Genomic DNA, 16,031 nt, shown 5'->3' on the forward strand with positions numbered 1-16,031 from the left:
CTTCAGGGAACGCTATCCTGAAGAGGTCAACGTCTCCACTGACGTCCCAGCAGCCTCCTGACAAGTTGTGCTGTGACCGTCTTCCACTCCCATCTTGGACGGCCCAGATGTGGGCTGTGAAGCCACCCTCTTCTGTCTGCACTTCACGCTTGCTTCCCCTCCATCTGCTGGGTCCAGCTCACCTCATAACCAAGAGTCTAATGCTGATGGCTCCCGGGAACCACCACTTTCTTGGCAAGAAGGATCCATGCAGTGTTTCTCATCAAGGAGTAAGGGGCGTGCTTCTGCATTTCTGTTCACATCGTCTTTCTTCCTACCTTTCTATTGCTTTTTCTTGTTTTTGCCTGCATTCCTTTTATTTGCCTATCATATTTTCTTCTTATTTTTTGTTTACTTTAATATTAGCTCAAACTCCAGTTTCATTATGAGGCTTTCCTTGGTTACTGTAGTGTACCATGAGTTCTCAGTTCTCTATTTTATTGCATGCATTCGTGTTCTGCTTGTCTGGTGCAGACCATAAACTTCCTGGCACTGTGTCAGCTTTCCTGAGTATGCACTATGTGCCTAACACTGTGATAAGAGCCTTCCACTTGCCATGAGGTTTAATCATGTGAGTTGATCTTGTTGTCTTTGTGAGCAGGCAAGCAAGCCGTTCTGAGAGCCTCCATTCTCTTCTATGATTCTGTATGTATCAAAATGCTCCCCAAATTTTATTATACCCAAGTTAAGGCTCAGTAAATTCTGCTGAATTGCTTTAATTATTGGCTTATTTTCTGTTTTTCTGGTTTTTTGTCTTTGATTAAAGTACTGAAGAAAACTTTTATTAAATTGATAAAACGTTGTTTACTCACTGCCACATCTCAGTGAATTCCAGTAACTTTTTTCTTTGTATTTTTTGATTAATACACTGTTTTTACAGCAGTTTTCGGTTTACAGAAAAAAATAAATAGGAAATACAGAGAGCTACCATGTATTTCCTAACCCCCTCAGCTCACCATTTCCCCTATTATCAACATTTTACATTAGTGTGATAGATTTGTTACAACTGTTGAGACACTATTGATACCTTATTAACTAGAGTCCATAGTTGAGGGTTATTCCTTGTGTTGTACATTCTATGGGTTTTGGAGAAATGTATATTGACATGTATCCATCATTACAGTGGTATACAGACTCATATCCGTACCCTAAAATTCCTCCATATTCTGCCTATTCATCTCCCCCCATCCCCGAAAATCCCTTGCCTTTTCCGGGATGTCATATAATTGAAATCATACAGTATGAAGCCCTTTAAGATTGGCTTCTCTCACCCCATGAATTAAGTTTCCTCCATGTCTTCATGTGGCTTGATAGCTCGTTTCTTGTTTATCGCTGAATGATATTTTATTGCATGTATTATCAGAGTTTGTTTATCCTTTCAGCTACCAAAGGACACTTTGGTGGCTTCTAAGTTTGGGCAGTTATCAATAGAGCTTCTATAAACCTATATGAGGCTTTTTCTCTAGACGTGAGTTTTTAACTTGGGTAAATACCAAGAAGGACAAGTGCTGGAATGAAGATGTTTAATTTTAGATGAAACTGACAAACTATCTTCCAAAGTGGCTGTCCATTTGCATTCCCACCAGCAGTGAATGAGTTCCTGTTGCTCCACATCCTCTCCAGCATTTGGTGTGGTCGGGGTTCTGGATTTTGGCCATTCCTATAGGTGTGTAGTGGTGTCTCATGGTTGTTTTAATTTGTGTTTTCCTGCTGACATATGATGCTGAGCATCGTTTTATATGCTTATTTGCCATCTGTATGTCTTCTTTGGTGAGGTGCCTGTTCAAATCTTTTTTTCTGCTTTTTAAATTGTGTTGTTTTGTTGTTAAGTTTTAAGAGTTCTTTGTGTATTTGGATCCAGTCCTTGATCAGATATTTGTTTGGCAAACGTTGTTTTTTCTTCAGTCAATAGTTTCTGTTTTCATTATCTTATCCATGTCTTTTGCAAATCAGAAACTTTTAATTTTAGTGGTGTTCAATTTAACTTCTTCTTTCATGGAAAGTGCTTTTGGTGTTGTATCTAAAAAGTCTCCACCAAACCCAAGTCTCCGAGAATTTCTCCTGTGATACCTTCTAGGAGTTCTACAATTGTGTGCCTTAGACTATGATCTATTTTGAGGTAATTTTTGTGAACAGTGAAAAATCTGTGTCTATTTTTTTGGCATGTTGATGTCTACTTTTTTCAGTACTATTTGTTGAAAAGCCTCTCTTTTCTCCATTGGAATGCCTTTGCTCGTTGTCAAATATCAGTTGACTATATTTCTGTGGATTCATTTCTAGGCTTTCTATTCTGTTCCCTTGATTTGTCTGTCTCTCTCTTTTTTTTTTTCTTTTTTTGCCAATATCACACTGTCTTGATTATCGTTGGTAGTGTCAGTTCTCTGACTTTTGTTTGTGTCCTTCAATATTGCACTTGCTATCTTGGGTCTTTGCCTTCCTTATGAACTTTAAAATCAGTTTATCCCCATCCACAGAATAGCTTGCAGGGATTTTAATCAGGCTTTCATTGAATGTATAGATCAAGTTGGGAAGAACTGACGCCTTGACAATGTTGTCTTCCTATCTATATACATGGAATATCTCTCCATTAATACAGATTTTATTTGTTTTTCTCATCAGTTTTACAGTTTTCCTAATATGCGTCTTGCATATATGTATTTTGTTAGATTTATGCCTTGAGTATTTCATATTTTGGATGCTGATGTGAATGAAATTTTGTTTTTAATTTCAAATTCCAATATTCTTTGCTAATATATATTACTTGTATGTATTATATAAAGCAGTTGATTTTTAAATGTTAACCTTGTATTCTGCAACCTAATTATCACCACTTACTAGTTCCAGGAGTTTTTGTTGTTGTTAATTCTTCGGGATTTTCTACAGACTATCTTATCATCTGAGAACAAGGACAGTTTTATTTCTCTATCCAATATGCATGCCTTTTATTTCCTTTACCTGTTAATTGCATTAGCAAAGATTTCCAGGGCAATGTGGAATAAAAGTGGTAAGAAGAGTGGCCACCTCACATGTCTGTAGTCCCAGTTACTCAGTAGGCTGAGGCAGAAGACTAGCTCGAACCCAGGAGATGGAGGTTGCAGTGAGCCGAAATCACGCCACTACACTCCAGCCTGGGTGACAGAGGGAGACTCCATCTCAAAAAAAGAAAAAGAAAAAAAAAAGAAGAAGAAGAAGAGTGGCCACCTTTGCTTTATTTCTGATTTGGGGTGAGACGCATTTAGTTTCTCATCGTTAAGTATGATGTTAGCTGTAGGATTTTGCAGATGGTTTTTATGAAGTCAAGGATGTTCCCCTCTGTTCCTAATTTGCCATGTAAATGAATCTTATTTTCTTTGTCAACAGGCAAGTCATTCTAAGAATGTTAATTTTTTTCTATGACGCCATATATATCAAAATGACCACAAAATTCCATTATTACGCAAAAGTTAGGGCTTAATGAAGTCAAGCCAATTAATGAAATTATTAGTTTATATTTTCTTTTTCTTTTGTTCACTTGATTAATTACTGAATTAATTAAATATAGTAAAAAGCTTTCTGTATACTCCCTGCCACATACTGGTGGATTTGAGTGATATTTTTTCTTTGTACTTGTCTTCAACCGAAGCCTCTAAGTTAGAATTTCCCAATGTATCTTCTGATAAACACTGGCTCCATGAGATGTGCAGCTGAAGGGCACTGGAGGACACTCTTACCCTCCTTGGAAAGACAGACCGTACATCACCATACTGACAGCTCTGAGAAACTCGGTAGCAAAGAATCCTGATGAATTCTGCCAAGTATACTCGATTGTGGAACTTACCTTTCACTTTTCAGCCACAGACATCCCACAGATTTAGTGATTGACAAAATACATCTTGAGTTACACTTCTAGTGGTTGTGTCCAGGTCAGAGAACACATAAGGCACAGATAGTTTTCTTTCTCTACTAAATATATCTTCAGGCACATATAGGATATTGATACATCTTGCACAGCCAGCTTCCTTTCTGAATTTATAGTCTGGATTATTTCTGAGACAAGGTGAGGGGTATTCTGGCTGTGGATGTGGGTGAATAGTGAATATTGAATTTTATAGAATTACTCTATGGCCAGCTTTGAAAAACACTAGAGCCACTCCTTGCTTCTCACAGGACAGGGGAGGTAGAGAAACTGAATAGCCAGTTGTGTCACTGGGACCCAATCGCTGCTCATTTCTGGGCCTCTCTCATTTTATCTTCAGGAGAATCAGTTTCCAGCGCCTCCCCAGCTCTGGTTTGGTGCCTGCCTGTACCTCTGTTCTGACCAGTTACGCCTATCCTCCCTTGGCCCTGACTCAACAAGTGTGCACCTCGGGGCTGGAGCCACTGACATCCCATTGTCAACTAGAAGGGCAGGAGCTGTCAGGAGTGAAGCAGAAAATGTTATGCGGGCTTTTTCAAAGAGTCTTAAAAAAAACCCATTCTGTCAGGGTAACATCTAACATCTTTTTCCCTTTTAACTCTATAAAAATACAAAGTACCTTATAACCTAGTGATTCCCAGTAGAATATGTATTTATATTTTAAAAAGCTTTAAGAGTTCTTTAACATACTGGGGTTATCATTGAAGTATTTATGGCAAATTATAATATAAAGTAACAGCCTCACTCTGTGGTTGGTTACCTTATTATAGGGTCATAAAATGAGCAAGAATAAAATTGGAGGGGAATTTGGAGGTCACTGGCCTGACTTTCTAAGCAGAGCAGGAATCCTTCAAGCTTTCTTGTGGGGATCATTCACCCCTGCCCTAACTCCTCCAGCGAGACCAGCTTTACAGCCCCATGCTACTGACTCTGCTCTGGGGCAGCCCCTTGCATCGCCAGGTGCAAGGATGCTACAGTCCTAGTCCTGAGCCGCCTTGCCTTTCTCCAAAGCCCTGACACTAACCCGCAAAGATAGAGCCCACTTTAATCTTGGCTTAAGATTGACCTTGTCACTGCCAAGGTTAGTTAGCCATAAGATACCCCTAATACCAACAGAAGATTCATCTCTAATGCTGGACAGAGAGCCATCCACTAACCTTAGGCACAGGCTTACTCCTAACCCGAGGCTTGAAACTTCAGCAACCTTCTCCATTTCAACATCTCTTCATGGACTCTACCTCATTGAAACTTGCAAAGACTCCTAGGGAAGAAGTCATAACCACATTGATGGAGGGCCAGAGAGGAGTCTCAGTGAAGTCAGATGGCAAATCTCAAACCACACACACCCAGGAGGCAGCCAAGCCAAGGCCCGAATCTCATGTCTGCTGTTGTCTCCCTAAGGGATCTCGGCGGTGCTGTTCCCAGGGCGCTCACCCGAAGCATGCAAATGGGCGATCTGGTGGGCTCAGATGCAGATTCCTGAAGCTGCTGACTTAAGGACTCTGGGGGCCAGGTCAGGAGGCTAGACCCTGATCAAGGATGGACTCGCACCGTCCTCAGCACAGCTGGCAACCATAGTGGTAACGGTTTCTATTCCTGCTATGAGGAGTGTGCCCCATAGAACCCTTAATAGAGGGGCTCAGCAGTGCCACCTCCATCTACCTCCACAGGAGCCTACCAAACAACCCATGCAGAATCCAAATATTCCTCCTTCTGATTCCCAAGTAATCCTGCCCCATTTTCCTAGAATTGTAAAACTGCAAGATTGCAAGGGCCCTTAAAATTCTCCTGATTCAACCAAGCTTACCCGTTTAGTTTTGTTTTATTACCACAAAGTGTAAAACATGCTATTTTATGTTTCAATTTGTAGTGCTCTTAGACACTGTTCAATTCCTTGGGATACGCCATCGTTGTGAGCCATAATGCTGTTTTATCTGATAAATATTTATCAAGTGCCTACCATGTGCTCATCACTGTGCCAGTCCACAGCAGAGAACATAACAAAGTAGACATATCCCTGTACTCTTCAGAAATTTAATTTTATGCTCCATTGTTTTAATTGAGATCTCATTTTTATGGGGGAAAATAACTAGTCAAAAAGAATGTTAAAGCTATCTATGCTTTAACAAGAAATGTCTACTAATGCCTGTTTGGAGTCACTTTGCATTATAAAGTCAGACTTTGTAATAAAGTGGCAGAAAACATTAGATGTGCTCAGACAGAGAGGCAGACACCATGAAGCTGTGTGGCTGTGGGAACACCTGTACACAGCAGAATGAGTGTGCTCTAGCCTAGTGCAGCCCGAAGTCAGAGGCCAAATGTCATCCTCAGCAAGGACCTCAAGGTCAAAGGGCATCGCCCATGTGTCTCCACTTCTGGTATCTTAGTGGCATGCTGAGAGCTCAGAGGGACCTGGGTCGGTGTTGGAGGATGGATTAAGGATGGGTAGATGCATGGAATACTACACAGCATGTATGCATGCATGGATGCAGCTGGACACCAGGATCCTAAGGGAGCTTATACAGAAACAAAGTAACAAATACTGCGTGTCTAGACTTGTAACTGCTATCTAAACAATGGTACACACGGACATAAAGATGGAAACAATAGAAACTGGGGATGACACAGGGAGGGAGGGAGTGGGGCAAGGGCTGAAAAACTATGGATTGGATGCTATGCTCGCTCTGTGGGTGATGGGCGCACTAGACGCCAAACCTCAGCACTGTGCAATATACCCATGTAACAAACCAGCACATATTCCCCCGAATCTAAAATTAAAAAAATAGGAGTGGTAGATGATTGGATGGGAAGATGACGGATCAGAGTCTAATTTTCATTAGAGCAGAGATGATCAAGATTTTTTTAAATTTACAGTACTAACTTCATCTCTTGAATGGTAAAGAAAGAAAAATGGAATTATTTTGCTTTTAATTCTTGTCCTAAAGGAAGAATGAATCCAGTGGTTGATGTAAAAGCGAGATCCTGGGAGAAGGAGCTGTTGAGTCCTTAGGACTGGAGCACCTGGCCCAATATACAGTGGGCTGTCCTCTTTCCACACTTCCCATTGCATCCCAGGACAAAAGTTCTTAGTCATCTGTAACCAGACCACAGGACAAGGTAAGAAATACTAAATGAATAATGATTGAATGATGACCTTACTCAGCTCCCTTTTCCATCTGGCTAATTCCTACTTATCTCTGAGATGTCAGCTCAGCTGCTACCCCCTTTTGACATCCCCTGTGAGTCCAGGACAAATGGAGCACACAGGGATTCCCTCCACCAGAACATTCATCTCACTGTGGAATAACCGTCATCCCCACTGTTAGAATAAAGGACAGGGGTGATGCATACCCCATGGATTATCCCATTACCATGACAATGCCCCTCACAGAATCAACACCAGCTAGTAACTGTGGGATGCAGGAATGAATCCTGCACAGCCTCGGTGCTGAAGCTGGTGTTGCAGCTTAGTCTGAAATGCCAACAAGTCATGGTAAAGGTGGCCTTATGTAAATTATTGAAGTAAAGATATCCATACTCTATGGACCAGGGTGGTATTTGCCACCCACCTGTGCATGGAGGTGCACTGGAGAGTCCTCTAGGGAGAGCCAGAGTCATTCACTAAAGCCTCTTGAGTCCTGCTTCAACACAGGCCCTCAGTGGAAGCCAAGAGCTCTCCCATTCCCAGTGGAGATGGTTTGTCCTAAGCTCCTGTTGCGGGGCCCTTCAAAAAGCATTCTTCTTTCACCTCCTAATACTTAGTTACCAAGGCAGGCCTGTGTGTCTTATTTCAGGAAGTTTCAGTTCAGAATGAGCAAGATCCATCCTAGTAAAACAAATAAACTCTTCAAAGAATGCAGGTTTTGTCAGTGTGTGCTCATGATGCATGCATATTTTTCCATAAACATTTACTGAGTACATGTTAAGTGCCAAGAGATGGGCTAGATGCTGCCTTTGCATGAGCAATCCACTCTTTATAATTTATCTGAGAAGTAGGTGACATTATCTCTGCTTAAAAAATGAAGACAGCTGGGCACGGTGGCTCAGGCCTGTAATCCCAGCACTTTGGGAGGCCAAGGTGGGTGGATCACTTGAGGTCAGGAGTTCAAGAGCAGCCTGACCAACATGGTGAAACCTCATTTCTACTAAAAATACAAAAATTAGCCGGGCATGGTGGTGGGCACCTGTAATCCCAGCTACTCAGGAGGCTGAGGCCGGAGAATCTCTTGAACCTGGGAGGCAAATGTTGCAGTGAGCTGAGATCATGCCATTGCACTCCAGCTTGGGTGATGAAGTGAGACGCTGTCTCAACAACAACAACAACAACAACAAAAAATGAAGGCACTGAGGCTGAGAAAAATTAAATAAATGGCATGGGGTACCCAACCCCATATTTGCATAATTCCAAAGTTTGTGCTCTGTCCTCTCCAAGGCAGGATCAGATACCTTTTTTAACCATTACGAAGAAAAACCAACACATGAACTATCTCCCTAAGCTGAGCAGGCTCTCGCTGTTCCTAACTCTCCCAGACTCATTCTTTTTGCACCCTTAAGTCCTGCAAAGCCTCATCTCATATGGTCTGGAAGTCCCCAAGAAGAGTCTCATCTGTGTCCTTGTGTCACCTACCTCGGAGACACTGTGGTCTTCTGCTTGGAGTTGCCCTCAGCATGCTGGGGTGAAGGTTCCTCTCCGAGCAGGGTCTCAGAGCCTAGAGCCTCACTGCTTGGGCTTTGATGTCTTTGTGAGGCTTCAGTGCAGCAGCTCTCAATCTTAAGTCTAGACACCCTGCACCCCATGAGACCCATCTCAGTCAACCTGGGCTGCTAAAACAACTATCATAGACTGGGGCGATTTATAAACAACACAAATTTGTCCCTGTTCTGATGTGTGGGAAGTCTAAGATTTAGGTGCCGGTAGATCTGGTGTCTGGTGAGGATCAGTTTCCTAGTTCATACACGGTGTCCTTGCATGGAAGAAGGAAGGAGAGGTCTCTCAGGGACCTCTTTAGTAAGAACACCGATCCCATTTGTGAGAACTCCACCCTCATTAGCTAATCACACTTCAAAGACCCCACCCCCACAGTCTCATCTTGGAGGTCAGGATTTCAACATATGAGTTTGGGGGTCCACAAACATTCCATTCTCAGCAAGACCCAAACCTGAGTCCACAGGGAGCATGCCTGGGGAGAGCTAAGTCACCCCACACCCTCACCCAACCTGCTGTCCTTTGTGTTACTAGAGCAGCCTGGCTGTGCTGCCTGAACCCTTCCTTCCTTCTACTGCAAGCCCTTCAGTCCTTGTGAAAATAGATTTCTCTTGCTTCATGCATGCAACCTTTTAGGGTCTATCTTGGAACCTTGCTACATGAATATCATCTTAATATAGTTGAGGACACCCAGGTTCTGTACATACTACCAAGAACAGACAAGCAAAACGCTCGGTGTCCACTGCTGTCTGTAAAAGACAGTGCATAAAATGAGCTGGTGTGGGTTTAGCCCCTGTGCTCTTCACTGCCAACTTTCATGGTGAGGTTGTGTGAGGGTAGGAAAGCTCCAAGCTCCAGAGTCTTGTCCTGAAGTGCAGTGGCAGTGACCTTCTCCCCTCTAATGCCCCTCATGGGTGTCCCTGCAGGATTCCCTCAGTGTCTACAGGGCGCTCTGCTGTGGCTCTGCTCTAGGAGGTACCTTACATGGTGCTGCTTCCTACTGCCAACAGTGGTCACTTCCTGGGACTCATCACGTCCAGTCTTCAGTGGGTTCACTGTGAGCCTTGCTGTGACACCCTTGGCTCTCTGCAGCAGATGGGCAGGGAGCTCCCAGCCCCTCTTTGGAAGCCCACTCTATTAGACAGCCGTGGATGCTGGATGAGCACGTTCTCTGGGAATCAGTGGAGCAAAAAGGCGAGACTACCCTAGGAGAGAAGAGGGGAGAGGAACAGACAGACTCTGCACCCACAGGCAGAAGAGGAGCCCCGCAGACTCAAGTGAAGAGACCTTCTGTGGGTCCAGGCCTCCAGTTACTGGGCTGACAAAAGAGTATCAAGAAGGGACAGTGTGGCCACAGCATCAAGGAAGTGATGCCGGGGCTGGGGAGGATGGGCACCCCCTGCAGCCTTTCTGCTTCTGTGTCTTGGACTGGTCCATGCTTGATATGGCTTTGTTCTCACCAGCTGTAGACTGATGTGGGACAGGGTGGCCATGCATCCTCTGGGTCCTGACACACTTGCTTCTGCGACTCAGGGCTTCGTTGCTCAACAAATGGCACTGGCATGGTGAGATTGCTGCTGATGACAGGTGATGACACAACTGTCTGCCAGAACCTTGTGGCATCTGGAAACACACACACACCTGTACACACACATGCATACATTTTCATGCACACTTCATTATGTCCAGCAGTGACAGATTCCTGAAATAAATCATCTGAGTTCTGCTGCCTGATTTGGGTTGGAGATCTTTAATGGTTCTACAGAAGCCAGCTAAGAAACCCATAAAATATCCCTGAAGCATTTATGGTGTTTTTCTGAATATTTAATAGGAGCTGCTGGAAAACTTCTTCACACGTTACTGAGACTGGTAGGTGGTTTGCTGTTTTATTTGAAGGACAATGTATTTGATAATCTTGCTTTGCATAAAATGCTTCTCTAAAGAAGAAAAGTTATACTTAAGGATGTCCTGGGGTGAGGACCATGATATAGAGAGCTTGGGATGGGAATTCAAGCCGACAGACAGGAGCAGCATCAATGACTGAGACACCCTCATAGACCATCCATGCCCCTGAGGTCTCTGCCTGGGGATGCTCCTCCTGAACCTCCAGGACGTGCAAAGTCACCCTTCAATGTGCCCCAAAGGAGCTGCTTGGCCAGGCAAAACCCCTCTTGTGAAGAGCCCTCTTCAGGGTAGGGAAAGGAGCTCTGGGTAAGGAAGGCAAAATGGGGCAAGGTGTGGGGATTAGGCCTGGTAGAGAAGGTCTTGGAGTTCCTTTGTTACTCTCTTTCCCTGTGACTTCACAAGAGAAAAGATAAAATCCATGGAGCCAACAATCCTTGGATGTGGGTGTAGGGGAAAGATCGAGACAGACTCCTGAGCCCAGGTTTCTGGGACAAGAGTGTGTCCAGGCTGGTCTGACCCACTAAGTGGAGAGGCCATCCAGGCTTTGGAACTGAAGACCTGGGACTCAGACAAGTGTGCAGTTTCTAACTTGTGATTGGTGACCTGCCTTAGCTTATATCTATGTCCCTGGGTCATATGTGTAGATCTCTGTCCATCCTCAGAAGCCGGGCAGGGTGCAGCAGTCATGGCAGAAAGGGGTGGAGATTAGGGGAATGCTGGCCGCCTCTGCTCATCAGGTCATGCTGACATTTTGCGTTCACAGGGAGTAGAACCGTTCCATATTAAGATGGATTAAAGACAAACATAAGACCTAAAACCATAAAAACACTAGAAGAAGACCTAGGCAATACCATTCAGGAGATAGGCATGGGCAAAGACTTCATGACTAAAACACCAAAAAGCAACGGCAACAAAAGCCAAAGTTGACAAATGGGATCCAATTAAACTAAAGAACTTCTGCACAGCAATAGAAACTATCATCAGAGTGAACAGGAAACCTACAGAATGGGAGAAAATATTTGCAATCTATCCATCTGACAAAGGACTAATATCCAGAATCTACAAAGAACTTAAATAAATTTACAAGGAAAAACCCCATCAAAAAGTGGGTGAAGACATTTATTTGGAACAGACACTTCTCAAAAGAAGACATTTATTTGGCCAAGAAACATATTTAAAAAAGCTCATCATCACTGGTCATTAGAGAAATGCAAATCAAAACCACAATGAGATACCATCTCACACCAGTTAGAATGGTTATCATTAAAAAGTCAGGAAACAGCAGATGCTGGAGAGGATGTGGAGAAATAGGAATGCTCTTACACTGTTGGTAGGAATGTAAATTAGTTTAGCCGTTGTGGAAGGCAGTGTGACTGTTCCTCAAGGATCTAGAACAAGAAATATCGTTTGACCCAGCATTCCCATTACTGGGCCCAAAGGATTATAAATCATTCTACTATAAAGACATATGCACACGTATGTTTATTGCAGCACTATTTACAATAGCAAAGACTTGGAACCAACCCAAATGCCCATCAATGATAAACTGGATAAAGAAAATGTGGCACATATACACCATGGAATGCTATGCAGCCATAAAAAAGGATGAGTTCATGTCCTTTGCAGGGACATGGATGAAGCTGGAAACCATCATTCTCAGCAAACTAACACAGGAACAGAAAATCAAACACCACATGTTCTCACTCATAAGTGGGAATTGAACAATGAGAATGCATGGACACAGGGAGGGGAACATCACACACTGGGGCCTGTTGAGGGGTGGGGGGTTAGGGGAAAGATAGCATTAGGAGAAATACCTAACATAGATGATGGGTTGATGGGTGCAGCAAACCACCATGGGACATGTATACCTATGTAACAAACCTGCACATTCTGCACATGTATCCCAGAACTTAAAGTATAATAAAAAATAAAAAGAAAAAAAGACTAAAAAAAAAAAAAGAAAAAAGAAAGAGACACTGAGAACAGAAGTGTGTGGAAGATGCAGCCAATTCATTTTTGAGCACATGAATGTGACACTCACATCTTGGCCTTTACAAGCAAATGCCCGAAGACAATGGCTGGAGTGGAAGCTGGGCTGCTGGTCACAGGTAATGGTGATGACACCATTTGGACCAACACAGAGGCCAGGGAGGGCAGCGAGACCAGATCAGAAGCAGCCCTGAGAAGTAGAAGTCCAGGAGCTGGGAGAACCCATGGAGGCTCTGCAATGACTGCGGCCTCTGGCGTGAGAGCTTCTCCGGATGAGAACCCTGGCTTCAGCACCACAGCCCACAACTGTTCAGAAGAATGTTTACACCCACACCTGCTGGGGAAATGTCAGGGCCTTGGCAGATTGCTGCTTAGAGATTCCTGCAATCAGAGTGCTTCCCTCCCCACACTGCTTCTCTAGATGTTCTTATAGGATCTTCACTGCTCCTTATTCTTCCTCTCCCTCCACGTGTGCTGCCGGCCTATGCCATGCGAGGTCCTATTCCAGACTCAGGGTGCGGCAGTGACCAGGTAAGTCCCTGAACCTGCCTTCTCGGACTTTTTAATCTAGGCAGAGACACCTTCCAAAAAGACAGGGAAATGAATGTACCAGTATGAAGTTTTAGATCAGGATCACCCCTCTGAAACCAATAAATAAGGTGTTATGTTATATACACACTTATCTGAAGGCCCGTGTATCACAGGAGACCTTTTAGCCTTGAAGACTGAAGAACTGCCCACTAAATCAGTTTATTTAATGTGCTACTAAGATACTATGGAGGGTGTGGACTGCTGGACCAAAATGGCTTCATATCATTGGCAGTCTCTGCATTACTACAAAAGGAAAGGCCCTGGCAATGCTGGGGAGGGGACAGACGACTCTTCTATAAACAAACAAATTTGGGGATTTTTATGGCAAAACAAATGTGTGTATTTACATATACACATTAAACAAATAGAATTATTTACAGGTATTTTTAATCCTAATACACAGTATGATCCTTTAGAACTTAACTATCTCTAATTGATTGTTTTGTTTTTTCTTTGTTTTTGTTTGTTTGTTTGTTTGTTTTTGTTTTTTTTTTTTTTGAGACCTAGTCTTGCTCTGCCCAGGCTGGAATGTGGCGGTGCAATCTCCACTCATTGAAACCTCCACCTCCCGGGTTCAAGCGATTCTCATGCCTCAGCCTCCTTAGTAGCTGGGACTACAGGCACCTGCCACCATGCCCGGCTAATTTTGTACTTTTAGTAGAGATGAGGTTTTGCCATGTTGGCCAGGCTGGTCTCGAACTCCTGAGCTCAAGTGATCCTCCCCTCTTGACCTCTCAAAGTGCTGGGATTACAGGCATGAGCCATCATGCCCAGCCTTTCTAATTGAGTTTTAAAGCCACAATAATATGCTGGCAAAGGCCCTTTATATAGTTTTATTGGGGAAGGAGTAACAAACACTTGTTTAATGATGACTTCATGAGTAACGCAACTCACATATGACTGGGGTGTTCACTTTGAGCTCTGGGGTGCAGTTGGTGCTCTTTCTGTAGCATCTCAAGGTAAAACAAATGAACCATCAGCAATTTCTGTTATACCCTTCCACCCCCAGCCCCTCCCACCCAGGAAGCCCAGAAACCCCCTGGGCACTTATATACTTCCAAATGTCCCTAGGGCCAGGGATCAGTTTCTGCCCCCCGGGTAGGGACCTCACAGCCCACCAAGAGCAAGTGCACTGTGCTCCCCAGGGAGGCTCACTCAGCATGCTGCACAGGTGCAGAGGTGTCCAGGAGCCTCAGCTGGTGCATGGTGGTCACTGCTGAGCCATGACTATACTGCTGATGCTGGGTGCACCCCATCTCGGCCCTCTTGCCGTGGTCTGGAGCCTTGAGTGGGAGCTCCCAATCACTATGACACCAGGGACTGTGCAGGCTGGGGCAGGGGCACTCATCCAGGCAGTCTAAGAAGGAGGGCTCCCCCACAGCTGGACCCAACCTCCCCCTCTTGTGGTCCCCCACAGCCTCTGCTCCTCCAGGCCTTGAAGGCTGTGTAGAGGACAAAGCACCCCTCCCCTGAGCTTAATGTGCAGGAAAGATGGCTCACAATGTCACCATGCTTTGGATCATTCAGAGCCATCATTTTTAGGAGCGGGCTGACCCAGGAGGCAGACCATGAGAAGCCCCCAAGCTTACTGCCTGGCCGTCTCTGCCGCTGGCCTGCCTTCCCCAGAGCTTTCTAACCTCAGGGCTTCATGGCCTCCACGCACTTGGATTTGCCTAGGGCAACCCTAGGCCATCAGGGTTACTAAACATGTCTCCCCAACACATGCCCGCACTTTGGATCCAAGGGGAGCTGGGCAAGGGGTGCTGTCCCTGTCATCTCTAAGGGGTGCTGTCCCTTCCATCTCTAAGCTCCTAGGTGCTGCACATTCCCTTCCCATTCCCAAGCAAGCTGCCAGCTTTGCACAGGAGTCTCTTGATAGAGAATAAAGCATTAAAGGCCTGACTTAGCAAACTTCCCCACTAAAATTAGAATTGTTCTATTTTGTTGTATTTATCTTTTGGCTATTTTTCCTCAAGAACCTTCATTATGCTCCTTAAAAAGCCAATAGGAATTAGAAGAGTTATAGAGTTCCAGAGCCTGGGAATGTATGGGGAGCTCAGCAAGCATGGGTTCAGGCCGCCCTCCCTGACTGGGGCACCATGCCACCACGCGGTGCTGACAGCAGCCTGTAGCCTGAAGCGCCTCGGGCCACGCTTAGGAAGGCCACCCAGCCATTCATGGTGTTCGTACGGACACATTGGACCATTTTAATGCCAGTGAGTGTGGCCAGATTTACTGCCTGGGGGCTGGGGGTGAAGCCAGCAGCCTTGAGCATTCTATTGAACACACCCTTGGTATCCACCCAGAAATTCCCAACAACTCCCAGTGGAGATGCAGGACAACAGTGCGTGTGGAAGTGCCATGCAAACTGCAGCCCTAACTAAATGTGAGCAACAGTGATCCGTTACTATTACTGATCATTCCTTGGGAGGTCAGGGCTGTCTCCTAAACAGTGTGCCTCTCTAGAAAGCTAGTAGATTGGAGATTCAGAGGCACACTTGGCTGTCTGAAGACATGTAGCCCTGGCTCTCCGTGCCACTTCCCGTGCTTCCTAGGTGAGCTTTGTAATGTTTCTCATCTCAGTTTCCCAGCTGGGAAGCAAGAATGCTCACCGTCCTCACCCTCATCACCTGCCATTGTTAACATTGGCCACCTGTTCACTCTGGGCCACACTCTGCTCTCAAGGACCCTTGCAGATGGAGCCATCCAGGCTCCCCAGAGCCCTCTGGATGGTGCTGTGTTCCCTTATTCCCATTCCACAGATGATGAAGCAGAGAGGTGAACACTGCTCAGGATGACATGGGAGGTACAAGTGCGAGGCTTGGGGGCCCACCTGGCTCAGAAAGAGCTCAGCTTTTTTTGTAATCTCCACACTCACCAGAGCTGCTCCTGCTTGGTCCACCT

At 44.8% G+C, this 16,031-nt stretch overlaps 2 annotated features.

Moving 5' to 3' along the window:
* Window positions 214–443: an enhancer, noted in NCBI's record as "active region_16518". NCBI's record gives its function as "activates an Ori minimal core promoter by ATAC-STARR-seq in GM12878 lymphoblastoid cells {active_cell/tissue: GM12878}" and the evidence as "EXISTENCE:reporter gene assay evidence [ECO:0000049][PMID:35858748]".
* Window positions 504–633: an enhancer, noted in NCBI's record as "active region_16519". NCBI's record gives its function as "activates an Ori minimal core promoter by ATAC-STARR-seq in GM12878 lymphoblastoid cells {active_cell/tissue: GM12878}" and the evidence as "EXISTENCE:reporter gene assay evidence [ECO:0000049][PMID:35858748]".

The sequence above is a fragment of the Homo sapiens genome, chromosome 2 (assembly GCF_000001405.40).
Source record: "Homo sapiens chromosome 2, GRCh38.p14 Primary Assembly".
NCBI lineage: Eukaryota > Metazoa > Chordata > Mammalia > Primates > Hominidae > Homo > Homo sapiens.